Here is a 16,915-nt window from a genome sequence, read left to right as displayed (position 1 = left end):
GCTCAAGTGATACATCCCTCTCCGCCTCCCAAAGTGCTGGGATTACAGGCCTGAGACACTGTGCCCGGCCTTCAACATAAAGTTTAATTCATTCTTACAATTATCCTGAAGTTAGAAAAATGGAAGGGGAAGAAAAATGGCAAGCAGGTAGGCTGACTTCGACTTCATTATTTGGAAGGACAGTTTGCTCGGTTAAAACACACTACTGCCCAAAAGGCCAAGACTACAGAAAAATACAGACTTACATAAATAGATTTTATATGTGACAGCAGTTTGAATGGAGACTTTTTCAATGCAAATGACAAACAGCTGTGCTTGGGAATAAATGACAAAGAATTTTTTATCTCAACAGCTGTCCTGAGAGCACGTCTCTACATCTATACCTGCATTCTGGAATCAGGGAGGAAGCCAAAACGGATGACAAGACACTAGGTCAGCCGCGTCCAACCCTTTGACTACAAGGACTTTTCCACCTATCTGTGGTGGTGGGTATCATGAAAATTATGCACAAACCTTTTTTTTTTTTTAAGCTCATCAGCTATCGTTAGCATTAGTGTATTTTATATGTGGCCCAGGAGCATTCTTCTTCCAATGTGACCCTGAGAAGCCAAAAGACACCTGTGCACTAGATCAAAAGGCTACTCCTTCTGGAAGCAATTGTAAAGAATTTCTGACATTATCTTCACATGACAACCAATGGGTAGTGGGACAGAATGCAAAAATCTTCAAGTATTTTTCTTGTTGGTTTTTTTTTTTTGAGTCAGGGTCTTGCTCTGTGGCCCAGGCTGGAGTACACTGGTGAGATCACAGCTCAGTGCAGGCTCAAGTGCTCCTCCCACCTCAGCCACAGTAGTAGCTGGGACTACAGATGTGCACAACCACCCCTGGCTAATATTTTATTTTTTGTAGAGACAGGGTCTCACTATATTGTCCAGGTTAGTCTCAAACTCCTTGACTCAAGGGATCCAGGACAGGATAACAGGTGTGAGCCACCACATCTGGCCATGTGCATGAACTTTTAAGACAAACACAAGGCCCCACAAAAGTTAAGGTTTTCCCACCTAATTTCCAGGGGATCTTTTGGTGCAAGGATGAGAAGCCCTTAAAAGTACCCAGACAACTCCAAAGATTCAAGACAGTTCATTGGGGCTGAGCCAGCCCACTGGGCAGACTGACCTTCAAAAAAGGCCCACCCATGATATACACCAGATGGCTCTCCAAGAATCTCTCCAGTCCTCAGGGTCCCTAAGGTACTGGACAGAGCTAGGAAAGCAAACCCATGTGCTTCTTCCTTCAGGCAACCCCTTGAGGTCAAGACCCCACAATCAGATGAGGATGGAGTGGCTCACCCTCAGTCAACAGGCCAGACTCAAGGTGGTATTATGTCTTAACCAAGGGTGTGGGCCTCCAGGTCTCACTCCCAACTCAGTGCTCCTTTAATAACCACACTTTGTTAATTCTCCTTAACAGGGGTTCCAGGCAAGTCAGTTCTCCCTCAGGCCTTCGGTTTCCTCACCCACAAGATGAGAGGGCTGGACCAGATGGAAATTCAGGGGGTAAGGGGATGTCCGCTCGCAGCCCACCTCGCCCATGGGCCCCTCAAGCCTCCCTGCCAGTTCCCACGACGCACCCGCCCCACAGATCCTGCCCAAGGTGAGGGCTGGTCCCGGGTCCTCCGGCTGCCGCATCAGCGAGTGCAGGAGGGAGGGGAAGCCTCCAACGGGGCGACTGGGGCTCAAGGATGCAACTCGGCCAGGAGTGAACTTGGGCACGGAGGGAGGTGTCTGGGCCGCTCCTCGAGCCCAGCCTGGGTCCACGACCCCCTTACCTCCAGGGTCCGTATCTCCTGCTGGGTGAGGTCCTTGGACACAGCGCACTTGTTGCGCAACCGGCGCAGGCTGCCAATGGAGATGCGGATAAGCTTCTGGAGCTGCCCACAAGCTTCTGGAGCTGCCCACACTGCTGCAGCGTCTGGCTGGCTGCGGCCCCTGCGCCTCCCAAAGAGGCCGCCACATCACCCCCGCCACCGCCCTCCTTCTTCTCTCCCCTGGCCGCTACGCGCAGCGCCGCTCTATGCAGGCCGCAGCGGCCAAGGCGGGGAGCCCGGGGCGCGGGCGCCTAGGCAAGGAACCCCCGAGCCGGGAGAGCTGGACCAGGAGCGCCCCCCGGCGCCGCCTGAACAAGGACGCCGGTAGAGCCGGCAGCCGAGTGTGCTGCTCCCGCCCTCAGAGCCGCGGCAGCGGTGGCAAAAAGCGGCGGCGGCGGGGGCAAAAAGCTGGGGCGGCGGGGACAAAAAGCCTCGGTGGCGGGGGCAAAAAGCCACGGCGGCAAAAACCGGCGGCGGCGGGAGCAAAATGCCGCAGGGGCAAAAAGCCGCAAAAAGCCGCGGCGGCGGGGGCAAGAAGCCGCGGTGGCGGGAGCAAAAATCTGCGGCGGCAAAAAGGGGCGGCGGCGGGGGCAAAAAGCCGCAAAAAGCCTCGGCGTCGGGGGCAAAAATATGCGGCGGCGGGGGCAAAAAATATATATATATAAAATATTATAAATATATATATTTATATATATAATTATATATATAAATATAATTAATATATATAATATATATTTTATTATATATATTTATATTATATAATATATTATATATTATAAATATATATAATAAAATATATTTATATATTATATATTAATTATATATATTATAAATATATGTAATAAATCTTGATGATTCTAAGAATGTTTTCATTATTATCACTAAAACTTATGATAAATGTTTTATTCATTCGTTTGTGACTATATTGCATGATAAAAATTTAAAGATTTATTATGTTTGAATCAAACCCCACGATTTGTGTCATTTCCCCCTGTAATGTGGAAGTCTGAGTTTTTAGTTCACAAATTTGGCAGAACAATAAACAGAGCGGCACAGCTCAAAGCACTAACTCCTCCGGAAGCAGCAGGTCAAAGTACATGCCAGACATTAAGCAGCAGAGCAACTTAGCAAGAGAAGACAGATCCTCAGGTTGGTGGGCAATGTCTGAACAGTCTGCTCATGGCACCAATTGTTAGTCACTTGCAAAGATGTGGCTTTAAGAGGGTAAGAAATTACTACTCACATAAATTACATTTGTGAGGTAAGTAGGAAGGCCTTTCAAGGTGATCTGACATGGCTTGAATGTGCAAGAAAAGGAGCCAGGCCTGGATTTTTATTGAGGGTAGGTGGCATGCTAGGGTGAGAATTTATTCCCATGGACAGGGGTTTGAATGGTTTCAATCTGCTGCTGGTACCAGAAAAGGGACCACCCAGGTTTCCTCTTACTGTATTATTTTATACACACACACACACACACACACACACACACACACACACACGGTTTAGGATTAAAAATAGAGACAACCATCAAAAAATGAAGATAGTTCCTTTTGGTCAGCCTGGCAAGTAAGGACGTAGAAGGTGACATTCGCATCAGCGAAAGTAAAAAGGGAAACATAGGCCAGCAATTCTCCTAACATGTATCAGAAAAATAAGTTCACAGGGCAAATCACCATCCCAAATTGGACAGAAGGACACACACATCCAGAGAATTATAACTTACTTGGTTAGTAAACCACAAGAAACCCCTATGGGAACAAATACAGTTGTAAGAAAACAAACCATTGTTGATGAATGGCTAAAAGTTTGAGAATTAACATTTTCAGGGTATACAAATTTATGAACTTTACTTTCAGAAACATGACATGGCTTTTACAGGGAAGATGATAGAAAAAATGCTTCTTGATTCCAGTAGGAGGAAGGGAAATGTAGCCATTTTTAACTATTCCCAGAAAATTTTCTTTTTAACATTCCTATCTTCAATATAAACTATGTATCAAAAGCCTAACCAACTGAGATTTTACCAGAGCCAGACTTCCTGGAGTAAGAGAAATGCCCAATTCCATCCCCCTCTAACCTTCTTGATCCAGTTAAGAGAGGTAAAGAGTGAGAAGTCCTCATGAAATTCACAGCCTAGGGATACACTGTTTTGTTTTGATTTGTTTTAATGAGGCTAATGCATAAGTCAATAGAGTGCTTTGCCTAAGCTCTCACATAACCACTACATCAACAGCAGAATAAATACATGGTAGCAGAATACAACTGAAAGAACTGTATGCCTCAGATCTTGTTAAATAAGTCTCTAAGAGACCACAAGGAAATTGAATAATGTTGATAAAGTCGACACATGTATATGTAGAAATACACAATGTACTGACACTGAGTCATGAACAAATAGAAAATCTGAACAGACCTATAGTTGCAGATTGATGCAAAAATCACCCCTCCAGAAAAAAAAAGTACAAAACTGTTATGCTGCTGAATCTATCAAACATTTTAAGAATTAATTACCAATTATCCTCAAACTCTTGCAAAAACCTGAAGATGCAGAAACACTTCCAAATTTATTCTATGAGGTAGGCCAAAATTACAGTGACATAAAAAATGAACAAAAGCACTACAAGAAAAGAAAGTTGAAGAAAAATGTTCTTTATAAATAATATAAAAACTATAAAATAAATATTAGCAAAATATATTTAGCAGAATAATAAGAGGGTTATCTACCAAGACTAATTGAGAGTTATTACTGAAGTGCAAAGATGCTTTAACATATAAATATCAATAAATGTAGCCAGGCACAGTGGCTTGTGCCTGTAATCCCAGTTACCCAGGATGCTAAGGTGATAGGTTCACTTCAGTCCAGGAGTTCAAGAGCAGTCTAAACAACATCATAATATCCTGTCTCTAAAAATAAATAAATAATAAATAAATAAACAAATAATCATAATATACCGCATTAGTACTGTTAAACACCACAATATCTCAATTTACACAGAAAAAGCATTCTACAAGATATTACTCATTCATGGTACAAACACACAACATAATCAACAGTGAAATACAAAAAATGTTTTCCCTTAATATCAGGAACTAAAAATAGTTCCTCTTTTTTACCACTTCCACTCAACAGAGTATATAAAACTTTAGCTTAAGCAATAACAAAAATAAAATAAAGACAAAAATGCATATGTTAAAAAGAATAAAATAGAAATATCTCTGTTCACAGTAATCATGTATGCACACAATTCTGAAGATTGTACAAACAGAAAAACACCTCAAAACAGTTTAAACAAATTAAGTAATGTTGCAGGATACAAAATTAACTTACAAAACTCAGTTGCATTGATGCACACCAATAATGATTAATCTGAAAAGGAAATTAAGAAAACAATACCATGAACAACAGTATTAAAAAGAATAAAATGCTCTGGAATCAATTTAACCAGGATGACAAACTATTTGTACAATAAAAACTTTCAAAATGCTGCTGTAAGAAATCAAAGGTACAAATAAATGGAACAGTATCTTCTGTTCATAGGTGAAAAGACTTTTTAAAAAATTTCAACTTTTATTTTAGATTCAGGGGTTACAGGCACAGATTTGTTATGTAGGAATATTGTATAATGCTCAGGTTTGGAGCACATAGGTAGTGAGCACAGCAACCAATATGTAGTATATTAACTTGCCCTCCCCTCTGCACACTTTAGTAGTCCACCGTGTTTACTGTTCCCATATTTATGTCCATATATGCTCAATGTTTAGCTCTTATAAGTAAGAACATGCAGTATTTGGCTTTCTGTTTCTGCATTAATTTGCTTGAAATTATGGCCTCTGGTTCCACCTATGTTCATACCAAGGACATGATTTCATTATATTTCACAGCTGTGTAGTATTCCATGGTGTATACATACCAGGTTTTCTTTATCCAATATACCATTGATGGGCATCTGGATTGATCCCACATCTTTGCTATTGTGAATAGCACAGTGATGCATTCAAGTGCATATGTCTTTTTGGTAGAATGATTTATTTTCTTTTGGGTATATACCCAGTTGTAGGATTGCTGGGTAAATTGGTAGTTCTGTTTTAAGTTCTTTCAGAAATCTCGAGACTGCTCTCCACGATTGCTGAACTAATTTACAATCCTGCCAGTGACGTAAAGTGTTTCCTTTTCTGCACAGCCTTGCCAACATGTTATTTATTGACTTTTTAGTAATAGCCATTCTGACTAACATGAGATGGTACCTCATTGTGGTTCTGATTTGCATTTATCTGATAATTACTGATGCTGAGCAATTTTTCATGTTTGTTGGCCACTTGTATATCTTCTGTTCAGGCATATCTGTTCATCTCATTTGCCCATTTTTTATTTTTTAATGGTTTTTTTTTTTTGGCTTGTTGATTTGAGTTCCCTATAGAGTCTGGATATTAGGCTTTTGTTAGACTCATAGTTTGTGAATATCTCCTCCCATTCTGGAGGATGCCTCTTTCCCCTGTTGATAGTTTATTTTGCTGTGCAGAAGCTATTTAGTCAAATTAAGTCCTACTTGTCTATTTTTGTTTTGGTTGCAATTGCTTTTGGGGACTTAGCCAAAAACGACTTGCCAAGGCTGATGTCAAAAAAGTATTTCCTAGGTTATCTTCCAGAATTTTTATAGTTTGAGGTCTTACACTTAAATTTTTAATCCATTTAAATTTAATTTTGGGGCATGTTGCAAGGTAAAGGTCTAGGTTCAATCTTCTGCCTATGGCAAGCCAGTTATCCCAGAATGTATTGACTAGGGAGTCCTTTCCCCATTGCTTGTTCTTGCCAGCCTTGTCAAATATCATATGGTTGTAGGTGTGTGACTTTCAGCAGTGTTTTGTAGTTCTCCTTGAAGAGATCTTTCATTTCCTTGGTTATCTGTATTCCTAGGTATTTCTCTTTTTTGTGGCTATTTTAAGTGGAATTGTGTTCTTGATTTCACTCTTGGCCTGGACATTGTTGGTGTATGGAAATGCTACTTATTTCACCATAATCAGTACTGTTTACACTGATTTTGTATCCTGAGACTATACTAAAGTTATTAATTCTAGGAGCCTTCTGGCAGAATCTCTAGGATTTTCTAGGCATAGGATCATATTTTCAGCGAAGAGAGATAGTTTGACTTCTTTTCCTGTTTCGTTACTTTTTCTTTCTCTTGCCTGATTGCTCTGCATAGGACTTCCAGTACTAAGCTGAATAGGAGTGCTGTGAGTGAGCATCCTTGTCTTGTTTCAGTTCTCATAGAAATAGTTTTAAGTTTTTAACCTTTTGAGTATGATGTTGACTGTGGGTTTCCCATAGATGACTCTTATTATTTTAAGGTATGTTCCTTGGATGCCTAGTCTATTGAGGATTTTTACCATGAAGTAGTGTTGGATTTTATTAAGAAGACCTTTGTGTATCTGTTTAGAAAATCATATGGTTTTTACTTTTGATTCTATTTAGCTGGTGAATCACATTTATTGGTTTGCATATGTTGAACCAGCTTGCATCCCAGGAATAAAGCCTACTTGACCATGGTGTATTACCTTTCTGATGTGGTGCTGAATTTGGTTTGCTAGTATTTTGTTGAGGATTTTTACATTTTCTGTTCATGAGGGATCTTGGTCTGAAGTTTTGTTTTTTCACAGTGTCTCTGCCAGATTTTCATATCATGCTACTGCTGGTTTCAAAGAATGAGTTAGGAAGGAGCCCCACCGCCTCGATATTTTGAAATAATTTTAGTAGGATTGATATCATTTCTTCTTAGTATGTCTGGTAAAACTCAGCAGCCAATCTACCTGTTTCAGGCCTTTTTGTTGTTGTTGTTGTTGTTGGTAGGTTCTTTAGTACTGACTCAATGTCAGAAGTTGATATTAGTCTACTTAGAGTTTTGATCTCTTTCTGATTCCATCTTGGGAGACTGTGTGCTTCCTGGAATTTATTCATTTTCTCCAGATTTTCTAATTTGCGTGCAGAGCTGTTCATAGTACTCGCTGAGGATCTTTTGTATCTCTATCTGATCCATTCTAATATAACCTGTCATTTTTATTGTGCTTATTTGGATCTTCTCTTTCTTTTTTATATTTGTTAATTTGGCTAGGAGCTTATCAATTTTTTTTGAAGAACCAATTTTTTGTTTTCTTGGACTGTTGTATACATTTTTGCATCTCAACTTCATTAAATTCTTCTCTAATTGCTGTTATGTCTTCTCTCATGCTAGCTTTGGGGTTGGTTGGTTCTTTTTTTCAAGTTCCTTTAGGTGCAAAGTTACATCGTTAATTTGAGACATTTCTAACTTCTTGATAAAGGCATTTAGGGCTATAAAGTTTTCTCTTAACACTGCTTTGGCTGCATCTTAGAAATTTTGGTAAGTTGTGTTCCTATTTCTATCAATTTCAAGTAATTTTTATATTTCTGCCTTACTTTGATGTTTACAAAGGATTTATTCAGGAGTAAGTTGTTTAATTTTCATGTATTTCTGTAGTTTTGAGAGATCTTGGTATGCATTTGTATTTTTTATTGTACTGTGCTCCAACAGTGTGCTTGGTGAGATTTCATTTTTCCTTAATCTATTCAGGCTTTATTTATCACTGAGCACGTGGTTGATCTTAGAATTTTTTTTTGTGCAGATGAGAAAAATGTACATTCTGTGGTTGTTCGATGGAGTTTTCAATAGATGTCTATTAGGTCCAATTGGTCAAGTGTGGAGTTTAACTCCAGAGTTTTCCTGTTAGTTTTTTTTTTTTTTTTTTTTGGCCTCAGTGATATGTCTAATGCTGTAAGTAGGGTGTTGAAGACTCTTACTACTATTGTGATGTTGTCTAAGCCTTTTTGTGGGGAAAGAAAAAGTCATTTTGTAAATCTGGGTGCTCCAATATTAAGTGTATATATATTTAAGATATTTAAGGCTTCTCACAGGATTTTATCCTTTATCAATATGCCCTTGTTATTCTTCTTTTCATTGGTAGGCAAAGAAGAAGTCATTTTATGAATTTGGATGCTCCAGTGGTAATCACATATATATTTAAGATAGTTAAGGCTTCTTGTTAGATTGCACCCTTTATCAAAATGCTCTTCTTGTCCCTCTTAGTGTTTTTTTTTTTTGGTTTAAATTTGTTTTATCTAATATAAGAATAGTGACTGCTGCTTGTTTTTGTTTCGTTTGCATGGTAGAATACGCTCCACCCTTTTACTCTGAGGCAAAGGGTGTGTCTTGAAAGCAACAGATGGATGGGTACTGTCTTTTTATCCAGGATGCCACTTTGTGTCTTTTAACTGTGGTGTTTAGCTTACTTACATGTTAGGTGAGTATTGATATGTGTGATTTTGAATTCACCATCATGTTGTTAGCTGGTTGTTATGTAGAGTTGATTGCATTATTGCTTTATAGTGCCTGTGGGCTATGTGCTTAAGTGAGCTTTTTTGGTAGCAGATATCATTCACTTGAATCCATGTTTAGCACTACCTTAAAGACCTCTTGTAAGGCTGGTCTAGTTTAAATGTATCACGTCAGCATTTGCTTGTCAAAGGAATTTTTTTTTCCTCTTTCACCTATGAAGCTTAGTTTAGAGGGATATAAAATTATTGGTTAATTTTTTTTTCCTTTAAAAACTCTGCAGATAGGCCCCTAACCTCTTCTGGTTGCAAGGAGTCTGCTGAGAGGTCTGCTGCTAGTCTGATGGAATTCACTCTGTGAGTAACCTGCCCTTTCTCTCTAACTGATCTTAAATTTTTTTTTGCACTGACTTTGGTGAATCTGATGACTATGTGACATGGAAATAGCAATATGGTTTGGATCTGTGATTCTGCCCCAATCACATGTGGAACTGTAATCTTCAATGTTGGAGGTGGGGCCTGCTGAGAGGTGATTGGATAATGGGGATAGATCCTTGTGAATGGTTTAACACCAGCCCCTTGTGCTGTCTCGCGATAACGTTCTCATGAGATCTGGCTGTTTAAGAATGGGTAGCACCTCCTCGCTCTCTGTGTTGCTCCTGTTCTTCCATGTAAGATGACTTGCCCCCCTCTTCCTTCTGCCATGGTTGTTAGTTTCCTGAGGGCTCCCCATAAGCCAAGCTGATGCTGCATGCTTCCGCTGCAGCCTGCAGAACTGTGAGCCAACCAAACTTCTTTTCATTATAAATTACCCAGTGTCAAGTATTTCTTTATAGCAATGTGAGAACTGACTAATACAGACTGTCATATATTATTGTATCTGACTAGGGGCTGACTGGGGTTCTCTTGGATTTGAATGGCAACCTCGCTAGTGAGATTAGAGGTACTTTCATGAACTATATCTTCATACATATTTTCCAACTTGCCTATTCTCTTTCCTTCTCTCTCAGAAATGTTGATAAATTGTAGATTTGTTCTCTAAGTAATCTCATATTTCTCAATGGGGATGTTGATTTTTCTTAATTCTTTTATCTTTATTTTTGTCTGACTATGTTGATTCAATAAAACAGTGAGCTCTGAGATTCTTTTCTCAGTTTAGTCTATTCTGCTGGAAATACTTCTGATTTTATTATAAAATCCTCACAGTAAATCTTTCAGCTCAAGAATTTTTTAGTTTAGATATTTTTTAAGATTGCTATTTTATCTTTCAGGTTTTGAATCATTTAACCGGATTGCTTGGCTTCCTTGGGTTAAGTTTCAACTTTCTTCTCAATTTAAATGAGTTTCCCTGCTCTTTTTTCCATGTCTGTCATTTTAGACAATTCAGACTGTTAAAAACCATCACTGGGGCACTAGTGGGCTCTCTTGAAGGAGACACTCTGGCTTTTTGCATTGCCAGAGATTTTGAGCCAATTCTTTCTCATCTGAGAGAACTGGTATACCTCTAATTGGGGCATAAATTGAGTATAGTCTATTGGCTTTCTTTTTTTGAAGGTTTTCAGAGGACTAGGACTCTGTACAGTGTCTTTGTTGTTGAATTCTTGCTCTTGGTTTCACAGGGGAAGAATTAGTAAAGTGATTTTTGGTGGTGTAATCTCTACTGCGATCCAGTAGATAGCACTTGAGAGCAGTGGGATGTAGATAGGTTCTTTACCATGCAGTTCCTTTGTGTATCTTCTTTATTTGCAACTATGTTCTGTGGTACAGGTCTGTTCATGAGTCTTGAGAGACTCACTTCCAATCACTGGCACTATGCCCATTATTATTACTATCATTATCTCCTTTTTTTTTTTTTTTTTTTTGAGACGGAGTCTCGCTCTGTCGCCCAGAGACTGGAGTGCAGTGGCAGGATCTCGGCTCACTGCAAGCTCCGCCTCCTCGGTTGATGCCATTCTCCTGCCTCAGCCTCCCGGCTAGCTGGGACTACAGGCGCCCGCCACCACACCCGACTATTTTTTTGTATTTTTAGTAGAGACGGGGTTTCACCGTGTTATCCAGGATGGTCTCGATCTCCTGACCTCGTGATCCGCCCGCCTCCTCCTCCCAAAGTGCTGGGATTACAGGCGTGAGCCACCGCGCCCGGCCTATTACTATCATTATCATTATTGTCATTGTTGTTAGGTGTTTCAAGCTGTGGGGCTCCCTCAGGGAGATGTCTTCTAGAAAAATACCCTGCATCTTTACCATAACAGCCCTGTGGAAGGAGGTGTGCCTAGGGCCCACGCCAGCCTGTGAACCTGTGTGAATCTGGCCTCTCAGTTTCTGAAGAGTGTGGGTTCCTCCCCCATTCAACTGCCCAGCACAGATCCCAGCTTGGCACTCCTGAACCACAGGCCACAGCACTGGAGTGCCACGACTTGCTTATGACTCCCTCTTCCTGATGCTTAGGGCCAGGTTCCAAGTGTGGTGAGGGATCTGAGGGATTTCTGGGCCGCCAGAATGCATTCAGGTGGAGCCAAGCATCCAGGTTGGGTAGCAGAAACTACAATGTATACATGCTTCTCCCAGGAAGCCAGGCAGGGGCCATGTAAGAGGCTGGTGGACAGGCATGCCTACAGGATAGACATGTCCCAATCCTGCGGGTAAGCAGGCCTTGCTTTCTCCCTGCAGTTTAGCTGGGGCCAAAGCCTCTGAGAGAGATAGGCAGCCACGGAGGTGGGACTTTATGGTTGAGCTCCACCAGATCTGACCCATGATAAAAAGTCCTGGCTCTGTGCCTGCTACAGCTCCATCTCCATCTACTCTCCAGGGAGAGCTCCTTGCCAACTCACATGTCCATGGGGGTGTGGAGCTTCCTGCAGCCAGGATCCCAGTGGTCTGCAGCGAGAGTGAGCAGCCTCCCAGTCCCTTTACTCACTTCTTCCCCAGATGCCACTCAGGGCCAAAAAGCAGTCATAGCGTTCAGGCACCCCATAAGGGCACCCCAGCTTCCTTGCTCTTCAGTCTTAGAAAACGCACCTTTTCTCCATCCACACTATGCATTTTCTCTCCAAATATCTATTCAAACTATGTTGATGTAGTCAAAATTGTGGTCTTTCTCTTTGGGAGCAACACTTCCTGGCTGCATCCAGTAAGCCATCTTGGAAACTCTCTTAAAAGTACTAATGTGGCAATTTCTCCTAAAATTATCTATAAATGCAGTGCAATCCCAATCAAAAGCCCAATAACTTTTTTTAAATGGAAACAGAAACTAACATTCTAAAATTCAAGTGAAATCTCAAGGAACCAAGAATAGTCAAAACGATCGCAAAAAAAAGAGAAAAAAATGTTCAAAGCTCTAATTTCATAATGAGAAATTTCCTAACGTCAAAAGTTACTCACAGTCATGTTACTCAAAACAGTGTGGTACTGGGATAGAGACTACAAACAAATGAAATAAAATAGAGCCCAGAAAGGTATCCTCACATATATGATAAAATAGTTTAACAAGTTGCCAGGGTTATTCAGTGGGAAAAGAAAGTCTTCAGAAAAAAAAAATTTGCTTGGAAAACTAGATATTCACATAATGAAGTATAAAATTGGACTTATACCTTACACTGTATACAAAATGAAATCGAAATGCATCGAAAACCTAAAAGAAAAACTTAAACCTGAACAACTATTAAAAAAAAGATAGGGCAAAATATTCATACCATTAGATGTGGGAATAATTTCTTGCATATGATGCAAGCTCAGTCAACAACCAAATAGATACATGACTTCATCAATAGTGAATTTGTCTCTCAGAGGACACTATCAATAGAGTAACAGGACAACTCTGAATAATAGAACATACTCCATAACAATACTCTAATAATACATCTGGCAAGGTATTAATATAGGGAAAATACAAAGTAAAAAGGTTTGAAAATCTTCAACACTCTTCATGATAAAAACATTAAATAAACTGGAAATAGAAAAGATATTGTAAGACATCTATAAAAACCCCACAGCTAACATCATACTTGATGTTAAAAGACAAAATGCTTTCTACCTAAGATCAGAAATAAGACAAAGATGTCTGTTCTCACGACATCTATTCAACATGGTAAAAAAAAGCTGTTAGCTAGGAAATTAGGCAAGAACATAAAAGTATTAGTGATTTCAAAGCAAATACACACATAGCACCCAGGCATAAATACAAAAGCAGACTTTTCACTGCACGTAAAGGTGGATACATGCAGACAAAGACACACAAGCTTGCTAACTGTCAGAGTTAGCAGCTGAAACACACAAATAAATGCTCAGAGAGACACCCAGTTTAGACCTCTGCTCTCTTTACCACACTCTCCTCCCACATTAGCAGTAACCACTATCTTACACATTGTTTATTTTACTTGTATTATATATTTATTCTTTCCTAGAATATCAGCTTCAAGTGGGCAGAATTATTTGTTTTGTTTTAGTCATTGCAGCACCTCCTAGAACATCTGCTACACAGGGCAAGATTAATACATAATAAATCACTGGGCTCAAATTCACACAACTATACACAGTGCTTTTCCATGAACCTCATCATAGGCCCACATAAACTTGATTTGCACAAAATGAGTTTTTCTTAACTCGATCCTATGTGGCAGGGTGGTGTCTTCTGAACTCCAAACAAATTCCTAAAGGTTAGCTTACTCAAATGAATTGAAAATGTAAGTCCACACAAAAACCTGCACAAAAAAGTTTACAGTAATATTAATTGTAGTTTTCACAAAACTTGGAAGCAACCAAGATCATGTATTCACCAAAGTCAGTGGTACAAAATTATTATACAAAAATCAATTATACTTCTATACACTTGCAACGAAATATCTAATAATGCAGTTGAGGCAAAAACAAATCCATTTACAATAGCAATTAAATAATAAATACATAGAAATAAATTTTTAAAAATGTGAAAGAAACTTGTAATCTGAAAACTACAAACCTTATCGAAAGAGGTTGAAGATCTAAATAAATGAGAAACCATTCCATGTTTATGAATCAGTAGGTTTAATACATTATGATGACAATAACTCCCCAAACAGTCTACATCCAGTACAATTAGATTCAGTACAATTAGAATTCAAGGTGACTACCATGTAAAAACTGAAGCATTGATGCTGAAATTCATATAAAATTAAAAGGGACTAAGAATATCTTTAAAAATCTTTAAAAAGATGCCAAATAAGAGGACTCACAAATTACAACTTCAAAATTTGCCTCAAAGCAACCTTAATCAAGATGGTGTAGTAATGACACAAGGAAAGTCATTTAGATCAACGAAGTACAACTGAGAGCCCAGAGAGAGTAAAATCAGCAAAATGGCAAGAATGTACAGCTCCAAACACCTGCTCCTCCACAGAAACAGGGAAAAACAAGCAGAACTGTCAGAAACGATGTTGTAAAACCTGTTGAAAACCATCAAGTTGTACAGCAACCATGTAAATACAAAATCAAGAAAAACAATGAAGAACAGGAGAAAAGCCTCGTGGACTTTTTACACGTCCTTGCCCAAATCCTTCCCTTACTCGATGGCAGTCTTAAAAACAACATCCTGAGTTGCCAGTATGGGCCTCTGCTCAGTGGTTCCAGAGGGAAAAGAGGAGGTCTTACTTGCAAAGTATTGTGTTGTTACATTAAAATCTGTATTAGGGCTATCCAAAGGTCTGAAACAAGGCTCTCTTTTTTCTCTAAGTCAGAAAAAAATCAGTTTAAAAAATTGGCACGAGTTACTTGGGAGTATTTTAAGGAAACTGAAAGCCAGCAGCCCCCTGGAGAACAGATTACAGATGACACATGCAATAGGTCACATAAAGCCAAGAATAAAAAGCTAACGTGAGATTTTGTTTTGTTTTACAAATTAGGCTATTAAAAAGCACCCAGGTATGCTGGCAAATTGACAAAGCACTCTGTGCATAACCACGAAAAACACATTTTCTTAAAGACCCAAGAAGACCCTCATTTTCAGCACTGGCTGACCTTCAGGCTCAGCTCAGCAGAAAGTGAAGACTGAAGCAAAGTTTTCAACAGTATGCATGTGTGTTAAAGGAATGCCCCAGCCCAGAGCCATCCACAAAAACTGGAAGAATCCGTCAGTTTGTCTTTGTCTCAGTTTTGTCATATAGACCTTTGTGACACACAGATCTATATACAATGAAAACTACAAATTTCTAATGAAAGAGCCATGAAAGATCACAGAAGATCTTAATAAATAGAAAGACATTTAATGTGCATGAACATAAAATCTCAATATTGTCAAGATATAATTTCTCCCCAATTTGAGTTATAGGCAAGAGAGTCACATCATCTGGGTGATTGGCCAAACATATGTCACAATCCCTTCCATTGACAGCTCCCAAAAAAGGAGTTACATCACCTAGGTGCTCAGCTCTGAGATGTGTCACAACATTGCCCAATACAGGCAGGGCACAGGCGGGAGAGTCACATTTCCTGGGTGCTTGGCCCAGTGGTATGTCACATTTCCTTATGTAGGAAGGGCACACGTAGCAAAAGAGAGTCACATTACCTAGGTACTGTGCTAGAGCTATCAGTCTCTGTGTCATTCAATGTGAGAGTTATGATCTCTTTAGACATCCATGTAACAGAGCCTCAACTCCTTCATCCTCAGATGTAAAGGCTAGTGAAGACCAAATAAGCCTTGAAAGGTAATTCCCCTAAAAAGGCAGAATGTCTTAGGCTTTGGCCTCTCCCCTTCAAGCACAATGAGATCATAACCTCTCTTTTGACTTCTCACTATGCCCAGCAGTGGAACAAAGCTCCTGACTCCACACCCTCACCTTTCCACCCTTGTACCTTCACTGGGCAGACAAGAGACGAGAAGACCTGAACTCTGGGACAGTCTGGGGAGAAAAGAATCCAAAAAGGGTTGAGGCGGCAAGGGCTGAGCTCCCATGGGTGCCCCGGCCCAAAGGTGCAGGTCCAGGCTGTTTTCCAGGTGGCATTCAGTGCAGGTTCTTCAATGCCACTAGAAGGCATGAAAAACCCACTGTAGCTGCTGCTTCTTCCTTTTCTTAAGCTCTGAAAATGCAAACACTTTTTCAAGGTTTTCAGATATGCCCAGGTACCCCCAACTGAAAAGGAGGATAATGGCATTGTTCATCATGGCTTATTGTCTTGCCCAGGCAGGAGCCAGCCTCTGACTTGCCAATCCAGCTGCCCCAGGCTGGAGGTGATCTTGTCGAGCCTCCTCCCTGCAACTCCACTCCTCTTTTTTCTCTTCCTCAACCACCGGCATACTTTTGGTCATCCTTCTTGTTGTCACAATGGGGGCGTGATACCATAAAGACCTGGGAACTCCAATGATCTCAGGTCCCGCAGGGGTCAGGTGAGCATATAGGAAGTCCAGAAGGACAGTCATCTGCCACCTCCAGTTAAAAAAGAACAAAACCCTCACACTCCAGGAATGAGTCAAGAACCCAGTGAAGGCCACAGGTCTAGCCCACAACCACCTAGGTATGTGGGGTCCTCCAAGGCTCACGCTTGTGTCCTGCAGGCTGGAGCCCATGCGAGGGTCTGCAGTCTTTGTTCCGGATGGGGAACTACTGCTTCAGCTGGTTACCCAGGTGCCCCGATGGGGAAAGGAAGGAAATGGTGAGAATCTTCAGCACAGCGGATCACATCACCCTGGAAGAGACCAGTCCTGCCTGCGCATAGCACAAGCAGCCGCAGGCTAG

The 16,915-nt window shown here is 40.4% G+C and overlaps 1 protein-coding gene across 1 annotated transcript; it reads left to right on the top strand.

Annotated features, from left to right (window-relative positions):
• The first annotated feature begins 468 nt into the window (after positions 1-468).
• Positions 469-16,915, top strand: LOC100507221 (uncharacterized). The gene is made up of 5 exons (XM_035861134.1): positions 469-485; positions 1,298-1,374; positions 1,471-2,191; positions 2,230-2,511; positions 16,735-16,915. Exons 3-5 carry the CDS (start codon positions 1,524-1,526, stop codon positions 16,913-16,915), a joined length of 1,131 nt encoding a protein of 376 aa, XP_035717027.1. The 5' UTR covers positions 469-485; positions 1,298-1,374; positions 1,471-1,523.

Source organism: Homo sapiens, chromosome 16, assembly GCF_000001405.40.
Source record: "Homo sapiens chromosome 16, GRCh38.p14 Primary Assembly".
NCBI classification, from domain to species: Eukaryota; Metazoa; Chordata; class Mammalia; order Primates; family Hominidae; genus Homo; species Homo sapiens.
The sequence above is the reverse complement of the archived record's forward strand: the minus strand, read 5'-3'. Positions and strand labels throughout refer to the sequence as shown.